This window comes from Homo sapiens, chromosome 1 (genome assembly GCF_000001405.40).
Source record: "Homo sapiens chromosome 1, GRCh38.p14 Primary Assembly".
In the NCBI taxonomy this organism is placed as follows: domain Eukaryota; kingdom Metazoa; phylum Chordata; class Mammalia; order Primates; family Hominidae; genus Homo; species Homo sapiens.
The window spans coordinates 113,670,044-113,682,113 of record NC_000001.11 but is presented as its reverse complement, the minus strand read 5'-3'; the positions used below and the strand labels follow the sequence as shown (position 1 = coordinate 113,682,113).

Sequence of the window (12,070 nt, the reverse complement as noted above, 5' to 3'; positions counted from 1 at the left end):
AGATGGTGGAAGATAATACAGTCAGAGAATCATAAGCTGGAAGGGTACTGTAGGAGGTTATGTCTACACTTATCCCTCAAAAGCGGTGGGGTGGGGTGGGGTAGGGCAGGAGGTGGGGAGCTAGATGAGGCAAGTACTGCGTGGGTGTGGTACTGCCTTTATTTCTAGAATAGTGCACTCAAAAAACAGTGACTTTCAAATACCATGATATTTCAAAACATGCCATGGAAACCCAGGAAGTTTAACATTAATACAGGACAGAAATGGTCTCAGGTCCAACTCCCTGTCTCCAGGTAGGGTGATAGCAACTTGTTTTTGCCGAGTCACCAGAAAAGCCTAAGTTTTCATGCTGCGCATTCATTATAATATAAACTTATCTTGCTTTACAGAAATAAAAATATTGGTTGGTAATGTGTAATTAGCTAAGTAAGAGAAAAAGCTGGGATATTTTGAAGAGATTTAAAACATTTTTTATGGTATTTAAATTGTTTGCCTCTAATACACTTTTTTAATAGGTACATTTCTCTACAAAAACAACTATATGTTTTTTCTGATTAAATTTAAAATACATTCCATTCCAACGAAAGTCCTGCCTAAGTCACTTGTTTTCTAATACTATTTATGATAACTCTGCTATGTAACTAGCTTTTCATGGTTCTAGCATTCACCTCTGAATTAACTAGTAAAATATCTATCCTCTCCAAATATATATTCCTTTTTCTTCTGTCCCCTCCCTAATATACAACTTTTCAGCTACTAGTGGGCTACTTTACTTACCATGGTCAGGTATCAAGCCAGTTCCTGGCCTCAAAAGAAGAAGAACTTTATTTCCACCAGCCTGAATGAGCTCAATTGCTCGAGTATGTGTGATTCCTTGTGTAGGTTCCCCATTGATTTCAACAATCTGGTCACCAACCTAGACAGAGAACATTCACAGGAACAACATGAAACTATGCATCCTTTGTAAATTCTGCTTTTGTCAGCTCTTGAGCCATTCAACCTTGCTAAGTGATTCTTTCGTTTGTAAAATACCTAACGTGTACCCAGTACTGCCATGTGAGAGTTGATGAGAGGACAGATGACAACAAACAACAGGAAGTGGCAATGTTCAGGTTTACTCACAAAAATCCTACACAGGAAAGTTTTATATGGCTACTAACTAAGATCTGGACATCTTGAAATCAAGAATCAAATTCTAGAATCAGATTTGGAATTTTCTAAATTTATAGAAATCAAATTTAGAATGTTAATCAAATTCTAGAATTTGGTTCTTGATTTGAAGATGCCCAGATCTTTAATAGCCATATAAAACTTTCCTGTGTAGGATTTTTTGTTTGTTTGTTTTGTTTTGCTTTTTGAGACGGAGTCTTGCTCTGTCGCCCAGGCTGGAGTGCAGTGGCGAGACCTCGGCTCACTGCAAGCTCCGCCTCCTGGGTTCACGCCATTCTACTACCTCAGCCTCCCGAGTAGTTGGGACTACAGGCGCCCGCCACCACGCCCGGCTAATTTTTTGTATTTTTAGTAGAGATGGGGTTTCACCGTGTTAGCCAGGATGGTCTCGATCTCCTGACCTCGTGATCCGCCCGCCTCAGCCTCCTAAAGTGCTGGGATTACAGGCGTGAGCCACCGCGCCCGGCCCTGTGTAGGATTTTCATAAGTAAACCTGGGCACTTGCTGTGTAGGGTTTTTATGCGTGAGTAAACCTGGACATTGTCTCTTCCTGTTGCTGCCATCTGTCCTCTTATCAACTCTCGCAGGAGAGCACTGGGTACATGTTAGACATTTTACAAACAACAATCCAAATGATACTACAGAGCTATGTCCGAATGTGAAGGGTACTTTCAAACTTGAGCTGAATTTTAAATATATCTCCTAAAACCTGGGCAGAGGGCTCTTATCTTTGAAGCCTTTCCTGGCCTCCAGGGAGAACTGCTCATTCCTTTGAACTGCTGCTATGTCCTGTACATACATGAGGTATTTGAATAAATGACATCTTTATAGATTAAAATTCTTAAAAACTTAAACTTGGAGAATAGATTAATATGAACACTTATTTAAAACCAGTAACTGGCATAAACTTAGTGATGTTAGTGTAAAATCATTTCTCAGGGCCAGGGATGGTGGCTCACACCTGTAATCCCAGCTCTCTGGGAGGCTGAGGCTGGTGGATCACCTGAGGTCGGGAGTTCGAGACCAGCCTGACCAACATGGAGAAACCCGGTCTCTACTAAAAATACAAAATTGGCCAGGTGTGGTGGCGCATGCCTGTAATCCCAGCTACTTGGGAGGCTGAGGCAAGAGAATTACTTGAACCTGGGAGGTGGAGGTTGCAATGAGCCGAGATTGCACCACTGCACTCCAGTCTGGGCAGCGAGCGAAACTCCGTCTCAAAAAAAAAAAAAAATCATTTTTCAGGAAAATAAACATAAAACTAGGGATCAGAATAAGATATACCTTAGTACCATTGTGATTTACTAGAAATGTCTGAGTTATTTTAAAAGAAAAAGGGAAAATATGTAAAAGTCAAGTATAACTTTGGAACAGACCTAATTAAACATAATGATGGTACTGATTTTAAATCTATTTCAAGCAAACACATGTTGATGAATGCTGCATTGGATAAAGAAAATGTGGTATATACACACCATAGAATACTATGCAGCCATAAAAAGAGCGAAATCATGTCCCCTTACAGCAACATGGATGGAGCTGGAGGCCATCATTATCCTAAGCAAACTAACGCAGAAACAGAAAACCAAATACCTCATGTTCTCAATTGTAATTGGGAGCTAAACACTGAGTACACATGGACACAAAGATGAGAACAACAGACACGGGAATACAAGATGGGGGGAGGGAAGGAGAGGGTCAAGGGCTAAAAAACTGCCTATTGGGTACTATGCCCACTACCTGGGAGATGGGAACTCATTCATATTCTAAGCCTCAGAATCATGCAATATACCTGTGTAACAAACCTGTACATGTGCCGCACTGAACTTATTAAAAAAAAGTTGAAAAAATATATTTCAAGGTGACATGTAAAATGAAGGATACTGGCTTCAAAACAGAAAAATTAGACAATGGCATATTACTGAAATTCCAAAAAGCAAATACTCAAATATTTGTAAGAGCTTACTAAAACAATCCAGAAGTTCCTTTGAGTTGAAGCTAGCTGCAAGGTGACTAAAGAATAGAAATAATAATAAGCCAATCCAGAAGTAACAAAACAGAAGGACTCAATATTTAACAAAGGTCAGTGGGCCAACTCTTTCTACAGATACAGCATGGCACAGGCGGTCAGGAGGCTGTGGTTCACATCTTGTGCTCCACCTCTTTCTAGTGTTGTGGTCTCATTTTTTTCATCTGTTAAATGAGGATAATATTAGTACCTATTTCGTGGGATTCTGGGAGGACTTAAGATAAAACATGATTATATACCAAGTGCAAATATTAGTTTTCAAGCTATTTTAAAGTGTATCATTACGAAGATTTAACTGTAGACTGCACTCCATTCTATACAATGCAAAAAAATTCAAGTCAACTATGAAATAGACTAAAGGTCTTATTGCATACTTATTTTAAACAAGGGAGGCTTACTCTTGAACAAATGGACAATATCAGAAACAAGATTGATGGATTTAATATGTAAGATGAAAACACCTTAATAAAACCAAAGTAAGACAGCAGGATGGAGAATAATTTAGAAACCCCTTACTATCCAGAATATATAAGTGAAACAAAAGCCAATACTTAGATTTCCCTTGATAAATGATGGAAGAAGAATCATTTTCATGAGGCAATGTAGGTAAGAAATTAGCACTAGATATATAATCTTGCTGATAAAGAAAATTAAAGTAGATAGTATTTGGACACTGCTTTGGGCATATCTTGTAAAACAGGTTTGAGGTTATAATTTATTTCAATCACATTCTTTAGCTTAAGCTCTCCAACCCAGAACACTTTTTATTCTTTTCCTGCAATAAACTGCAAAAAAAAAAAACAACAAAAACTTGTAATTGAACAGACTTGCCACCAGGTGTCATTTCTGTTTAACTTTAAAACTGAATGAGGGGAAGGAGGGGGAGCCATTGCTTTAAGATTTATGGTAGACAGGCCCTCAGAGTGGGAGAAATTCTGCAGAGACCTACATACACAAAACTACAGATGAAAAAGACTCTTCTGAGAGGGAAATTCAGAGGAGTAAATTCACCCAGTAAACATCCTTTTAACATTTTAAGTCACTTTAAAAATGTGATAAAAAATAATTTGGAGAAAACATCTTTTGATAAATAGAACAAAGATTCAAGTTCAGTTTTGTATTATTGAAAAATAATTATGGGGACAGAGAAGAGAGAGGAAAGAAAAGAGAAAGGAAAAAAAATAGGAGAACCAAAAGAAAAGAAGTAGGAAGAATAGGGAAAAAGAATGTTCCCTTTTTTAAACAAATCACTATTTTTTTATAGGCAGTCTTGTCGTTTTAAAAACAACATCCACTACAAATGTATTAAAATGACAAAATATTTCTACCACATGGCTTATATTATCTCACAACCTGTTAAGAAACTGTCTGCCTATCAATGAAATCCAATCCAAACTGGACTCAAGCCAAGACCTGACATAGCGGAAAGCACATGAACCGATCTTCGAGGACGACGGACTAGGGTCATACCTGGGTCACACTGTGGCCTGCACAGGATGAGTGATCTCTGCAAGTGACTAAGTCTCCTTGAGCCTCAGTTTTAAATCTGTAAGTGGGGATAATGTCACCTATCTCAGAGTTTTTGAGACTAATATAAGTAAAAACGCATGTTGTGTAGGAAAATACATGTTGCCTCAAAGACAGCAAACACTTAATATTTTCTAAATCTGATTATGTTCTACGTTAAATATTTAAGTTTGACACTATTCCCTAATATGAACCTTTTCCATTCAGCTATTTCTCAGTTCCTTATCCCAGAACACTTTTTTTCTCTCTCCTCTCTAAATCTTAACCAGACCGAAAGGAAGAACCTCTCAATGATTCTCAATATCCTTCCATCTATGTTACAAATTAACATTTCTTGTTTTCTTAATGACACTAAGATTGTTGCTAATTACTTCATATATCCCCAGTCCTGTTCACCCAGTAATAAGTCCTGGGAACTGATCTTAAAAATAAAAACACACACACACAATAATTCTCTCAGTATCTAGAATTATTATCCATACATTTTACTCTTTCAACAAATATCTATGGAGCACCTGATATGAATATTCAAGGCACCATATCAGGTGCTGGAGATACGGAATAATAGGTATAGGACACAAAGTACAGCTGTCAACCTAATAAAGGGAGAAGAGGAGAGGCAAGCGGGGGAGGCAGAGAGGGGCACTCAGGTGGCTCCGTGGTGCGAGTGTCAGCTAGAGATAAACTCTTATCATTTGGACAGCGGCCACCAGAGAAAGTTGTCATCAATAACATTTTATTGAGCACTAGTTATATGCAAAGCCCTCATGAGCTGTATCAAGTCAAGATTTTGATAATTTAATAGCCCAAAAAGTGACTTCTCTGAAAAGCTGACATTTTCTTACAGGTTAGAGCACACTGGGGTCTAACAGTTAATTGCTCATTTGCTTTTGTTTTCAGAGTTTATTCTTGAAATAAAAGCTGATTTCATCATTAGATTCTAAAGTTTCTGCTCATTCATAAAGCATGTCATGTTGTCGTTTTTTAACTGAGGATGTTTTGCTGTGTTGCCCAGACTGGTCTTGAACTCCTGGGCTCAAGTAACCCTCCCACCTCAGCCTCCCAAGTAGCTGGGATTACAAGCATGTGCCACCACTCCTGGCTGAGAATGACATGTTTAGAACTAGACTTTGCTTTAAGGCCTGTTTGCCTTTGGTTTACTGAGATTAGTGGATCTGAGGGTTATATTTGGAACCAACATTTAAAACAATTATATCCTAATTTATCATTTAATTGGATTTTTGTGACACTATTTACAATAGAAGCATTGAAACACAGATGTAAAGTAACTGAATAGGTTGTGTGTGTGAGAGAGAGACAGAGAGAGAGAGAGATGAGAGAGAGAGAGAGAAGAGAAGATAGGAGGGGAGGGGAGGGGAAAGGACCAAGAAAACCAGGAATAAATATGCCATCCTCTGTAAACAGTGTCTCAAGATGCTCTTATTAAGACTTTAAGAAGTTTACTTGGACCATGTATATTACATATGGTTCTGCATTTTGCAGATGAGGAAACTCAGGAGAATGTCCTGTCTGATTTCCAAACCCATGTTCTTGTCACGATATGAAATTGTCTCTATAAGAAAGTAGATTCAGCAGTTCTTGACGAGCTGTATTAAGGCCATCGGTCCCTCTTTGTCATAAACACTCTGCAGCTTTGGCTCTGTGGCTCTGCATGCTGCGCCTTCCCATTTTCTTTATTTTATCTAGTCCACTAATTACATGCCTTGCTCAGAGCTCTGCCCTTGGCTAAGTACTCTCTAAATATTCTTCCTTAGTGATCTTATCTACCACAAAGGTTTCAATCATCACTTCTCAGTAATGTCGCAATCTGGGCTTCTACCACTACTAGTAGTAATTGCCTGCTAAACATTTACACCTGCTCTACTAGCTGTTCCCTTCACCTCAACATGACTCCAACTTACTACACCATCAGTCTTTGCCATATCCTTTCTCCCCTTGGCTTCCCTGATGGTTTTCGTAGTACAGATGGGGCAAGGCTTCTGAGTCATCCTTTACTCTTCCTTTTCCTTCATCCCTCATTTAAAGGATACTTGTTGTTCATCTAGTCTGGTCCTTTATTCACTGAAATTTGAACTTATATGCATCTCTTATCTTCCATCCAAAGCGTTACCATTCAAGTTATACTCCCACCACTACCACTGTATGCATAAATTACAGCTACCTGGAGTCCCTTCATCCTTCCTGCACACCACTAACAGATTTTTATCAGCAGATTGCTCTGAGGGGAAACTCCTGGCTAAAAAGCCTCCCATGGCTTCCCACTGCCTAGGACCTTTATGCCTGCGACCCATCGGCTTTTATATTCTCATTTCCTCTATTCATCTACGCATTTTCTAAATAAAATCTAAGTAAACTCAACCATTTGAAGTTCCCTGTACATGACTTATACTTCCTTAGTTTTACGCCATTGCTCATTTATTCAGCCTGGAATGTTTTCTCTCCTTAATTTCTCCCTATTGAAATCCTATGCACCTGTCAATGCCACCTATTCTGTGAAATCTTCTCTATTCATCCCTTTGAACTTGTGCATGTGTCTGGTCATTTTGAGGGAGGATAATATCTTATTTGTTTTGAGTCACTCTCCCAACTCATTCAGTAGCATGCATAAAGCTTTGGGTAATGCAAACACTCAATATGTGTTTATGAAATGACTAATGGGAGTGAAATGAAAAATTCAAAACTGCAATCACCCAGAAGCACCTTTTCTAATAATTACTAGAATATACCATCTAATAATTACCAGGATCATTTGCCTTTCTAATTGAATTACTTAGTTTAAAATTAAAAAAAAAAAGTTCCTTTTCTCTGATGCCTACTGGTGGCAGGGAAAGGAAATCCAAAATTCTTTTGAGTAGTAGGGGGAACGGTGTCTAGAAATTAAAAGTTTTTAATGTATCACCTAACTGAATGCCAGTGAGTTAAGTTTTTTTTTTTTTTAAATTGAAGACAGCAAATGTCTTTTTTTTTTTTTTTTTAAATGGAGTTTTGCTCTTGTTGCCCAGACTAGAGTGCAATGGTGTGATCTCGGCACACTCCGACCTCTGCCTCCCAGGTTCAAGTGATTCTCCTGCCTCAGCCTCCCAAGTAGCTGGGATTACAGGCATGCACCACCAGGCCCGGCTAATTTTTGTATTTTTAGTACAGACGGGGTTTCTCCATGTTGGTCAGGCTGGTCTCGAACTCCCGACCTCAGGCGATCTGCCCACCTCGGCCTCCCAAAGTGCTGGGATTACAGGCGTGAGCCACCGCGCCCAGCAGCAAATGTCTTCTATATAAGATTCCTCTTTAATTAACATCCAGAGAAGAAGGAAAAACTATCTTATGCAGATCTATAAACAATTTGGTCTGCAGTTCCCTATACGAAGTCACAGTGTTTCAGAGTTGAGAACATCTATGATGGAATACTACTGATGTGAATTCTAGGCCTTCAAACAATAAGAAATGTTGAGAGCCACGCTTTTCAGCCTCTAGTTACCTCTCCCGGTAGCTAAGAGTGGGGAAAAAAAATCCTGGGCCTATTGCCTCCTGGAAAAAGTTAAAGATTCTATTTGATCCTCGCTTTCTCAAGACTCTTATTAAGATGAAAAGTGTATTTATTAATTCGTTTACCCTCAGATGTTGACTATGTGAATAAGAAATGAATTTTCTTATTGACCAAGGTCAAGAAGGCAAAAGTGGCATAACTGCAATATGGTTTAGCACACTGAAGAGAAGAAATGAAATCATCAGGGCGTTAGAAAAGCAAAATGACAAGCATTTGCCTTTTTTAGCTACCAGTGATGACAAATCCTGCTTTTTAGATTTAGGAGGTTCCTGCATTCCCTTTAAATCAATTATTAATATCTTTCGAAGTTTCTAGTCTAGAGCCTGAACCTAAGGTTACAGACAGAAACCAACTCACATGAATTCTGCCATCTTTGATGGCAGGACCATCTTCAGCAAGACGAAGGATGAACAGCCCCATGTTGTACTCCTTCCCCCCTCGGAGGCTGAATCCAAAGCCCCGGGGGCCTCTCTCCAGCTCTACTGGATAACAACCAAGGTTCTAGAGAGAAAGAAGTATAAGAAAAGCAAGTTCTCATGGACTGTTTACTTACATTTTGAAGAAAGATTACTTCTATAGCTGGAAGAAATGATTTATACTCTCAATGTGCATTTCTATATTGTAAAGAAGGAATGTAGGTTTTGGTTAAAGGGCTACTTAATTTTTATAAATGCAGCCTAAATTAATCTGAAGGTTACATGTCTTTTCTAGTTGGTCAATGTGCAATGCAACAATCAGAGAACAGAATTTTGGAAAGTGCTTCCTTTAAGTAGCGTTTGACTAATTTTCCTGGAAACAAACAAGTAACAAACAAAAAAACCTGAATTTGATTATCTAAAATACTATTTACTTCTAAGTACTTAACCAAGGGTTCAAAGCTCTCCTGCTGTAGGGGAAACTTTTCTTTCACTCCTAACATTCTCCTATGAATGCCAGCAGAATGCCAAACACATGGCAGGTCTTCGAGAATTATTAGTTTTGGAAACAAATTTATCTGAACTGATTTGCAATAAAAATTCACCAATGCCAGTGGTATGGCAACTCAAAATATCACTCCCCATCTGGGGAAATGTTTGTTTACCTGATTGTGCCGACTGCCTACAACTGAAATTACTGCGGTGTCAGGCTGTGCAAGGTGCTTGTGGTCTGACCAAGAATGTCTGTAAGAAGTGGAGACATCTTTTCCAATTTCACCTTCTAGGGCACTTCTACAAGAGAGAGAAATCAAGTCACTCTCTGAACTGAGAAAATGAAAAACAGTCTAAAGGCAGATTAATTTCTTTTCTTTTAAAAGCTCGACCTTGCCATTTTCCCTCTGACAAACCACTATGAAGACAGACTATATCTAAAATCAGATCAGAGGGGTGCTAGGAGAAACCTGGTCATTAATTCCAACATACTTTGAAGTCTGTCAACATCCACAATTTTTTTAAGGACATCTCAGAGCAGTTTATATCAAAGAAAACTGCAATCAAATAACTACACCAGAGGGCAGTTAAGCTGACCCTGTCACAGTGAAAAATGGCTCTCCTGCAGCACCAATGCCCGTGAAGATGCTGGATTTCTGGAAATCTAGGCTAATATTTTCAATGAAAGAAGACAGAAATACACACAAAACCTGCTCTGCTCAGGTGGTCTGATAAGACAGCAATCCATATGGGTCTGCAGCTTCCCTATGAAAACTATGAGGACCAAGAGTAGCAGAGCCAGATGCTATGTCATTTCTTTCTAATCCTCGCATGTCAGGCAAGATTGGATAATTATGCTGTGCCTGGGATGGAGGCTGGAAGAGGGACGAAGGTACTGAATGGGTGGAGGTGATGGGGACGGTATTTGAGGAACAGGCAAGAGTTGTCATTTTGACCTCAACAGCTGGCATCTGCATTACTGCATGGGGGTGGATGATGGGGAGTGGGGTTATGAACAGCAGAGCAATAAGGAGAGAATAAGAAAAAAACAAAAACAAAAACCTGAAAATAGCCCCACCTGTCCCCAGGTATGTGGTTGGCCTGTGACTGTCCCATGGGCCTGTGCTGCAGGGCTGGGCTTTGCCTGGCTGAGTTTGTTCCTGATGGTGGACCATGATGCTCTGTTCAAATGAGAAAACAATAGAAATAAGAATTTGTACATAAAAATGTGAAGGCCAAGCGGATCTGTGAAGGTGAGACAATAACAGATGGCTATTGCTGTACTGACTTTAGTGGCTTTAGCATGAACAGCACTATTGTCAGCTGTCTGGAACTGGCGCATTAACATCTTTTTCCCTGTGGCTTTTGATTAACGTTTATGTCTCAGGAGAACAGGAATCATATTATGTCCCCATTTTCACCTGTGTTTTAGTCATCCATATAACATAAAATTCAGAAATGAACATAATATTTATCTAGAAGACAGAGCTCCAGGAACTATACTGTTGCCTATTCTATGGGCTTCCAGAGCACACACCTAATAATTGGTAACCCATTCTAGATAACAAAGCCGGGTCTCAGGAATGCTGGAACACGGAGGCCAGTCTGCAAACCACACTCACACCTTTGAACCTGCATCTTCAATATAGGAGCAGTTATTTTGCCTGCCACTGAGAACCAAAGACAAACTTATAGAATCCTGAGTGCTAACAAATATTTATAAATATTCTACTGCTTCCATTTTCTCAGAACACAAATATAGGTGAAAAACATTACATTTGTTTTGTATCATTCCCAACAGCTCTGGACTCCCTGCTGTTCCTCGAAGGTAGCTTTCATAGCTAAGCATAGTGACTGCCTGCACCTAGAACTAGATGGCAAGGAGGCGACAATTAAACAAGATGCCTAAGGCTGGCAGACTCATATTTTTGAAGTTGAAACTTTTGAACATTTTATTATGTTTAAATATAAAAGCATAGGATATTTAAAGTATCAGAGGGAGCACAGCTTAATGATTAAGACCATGAACTCTGAGCAAGATGGACAGGGTTTAAGCCTGATTGCATCATTTACTAGCTGTGTGTTCTTGAGAAAATCTGTTATGTTCTCTGTGCTTTGAATTGTCTTGCCTATAAAAGGGGAAATACAGTTATCTCACTGGGTTATAGTATCAAAGGAGCTTATAAATATACATGCTTAGAATAGTGCCTGGCATATAATAGTCACAATATAACAGTTTCTATTATAACTATCATCATTTTCATCATCATCATCATCATCATCAAAATGATATCTCTCACTTGGGGTTGCATTTCTCTTTAAACATATATGCTGAAATCTTTACCTTGCTTTATAAAAATGTTAAATGTAGAGGGTACTTTAAGTTAGAAAAACATGTGGAAGCTGATATAACCTGAATCTTAGAATACAATAGTGAAAATCTCATGTTAAAGATAAGAGATAATTAAGAAGCAGTTTCCATTGAGAAAGCTGAAACTTCAGGCTTTACTACAATACATGCATCACTATTTTATTGCTTGGGTTAAGTTGTTACTTTCCAAAGTGCTGTGAGACTAAAAACACAGATAAATTGCTTATTTTTATTGAAAAGTTTCTTGTATCTAGAAGCTAGAGAGTACTCTAAAAACACAGGCCAGAGAGTACAAAGTGGCAGGAGGAAGAAATGGTATATGGCCAAGCCAGGTGGCCCCTGAGGATTTCTACGCCCTCTGGCTGCTGGGCTTGGGTGTGAACATGGATTTAACAATGTGTACTAGACCTGGAGATGCAGAACCAACCTCTGGACCAGAACTTACCCAGAGGGTTGTGTTTCCTCTTTAAGGTCAAGTATTCCAGGAAGGGAGGGTGGGA

At 39.0% G+C, this 12,070-nt stretch overlaps 1 protein-coding gene across 5 annotated transcripts in view, besides 2 other annotated features; it reads right to left on the bottom strand.

Annotated features, from left to right (window-relative positions):
• The window catches only part of MAGI3 (membrane associated guanylate kinase, WW and PDZ domain containing 3), a 295,409-nt gene that overhangs the window by 3,810 nt on the left and 279,529 nt on the right, over window positions 1-12,070 (bottom strand). For 4 of the 5 annotated variants that reach the window (XM_017000974.2, NM_152900.3, XM_005270737.4 and 1 more), the window contains exons 17-20: window positions 10,278-10,380; window positions 9,373-9,499; window positions 8,649-8,792; window positions 778-916 (exon numbers count right to left, since the gene is read on the bottom strand). In XM_017000974.2, the coding sequence (XP_016856463.1) occupies window positions 778-916; window positions 8,649-8,792; window positions 9,373-9,499; window positions 10,278-10,380 (513 nt within the window). Of the gene's footprint in view, window positions 1-777; window positions 917-8,648; window positions 8,793-9,372; window positions 9,500-10,277; window positions 10,381-12,070 lie in introns of those variants that run through there. The other variant, XM_047417371.1, reaches the window with a different exon arrangement.
• Window positions 691-1,229: an enhancer, noted in NCBI's record as "NANOG hESC enhancer chr1:114223507-114224045 (GRCh37/hg19 assembly coordinates)". NCBI's record gives its function as "activates a minimal SCP1, AML or CMV promoter by ChIP-STARR-seq in naive H9 embryonic stem cells {active_cell/tissue: H9 hESC(naive)}" and the evidence as "EXISTENCE:reporter gene assay evidence [ECO:0000049][PMID:30033119]".
• Window positions 4,493-4,787: an enhancer, noted in NCBI's record as "tiled region #12988; K562 Activating DNase matched - State 8:EnhW". NCBI's record gives its function as "activates a minimal TATA promoter and a strong SV40 promoter by Sharpr-MPRA in K562 cells {active_cell/tissue: K562}" and the evidence as "EXISTENCE:reporter gene assay evidence [ECO:0000049][PMID:27701403]".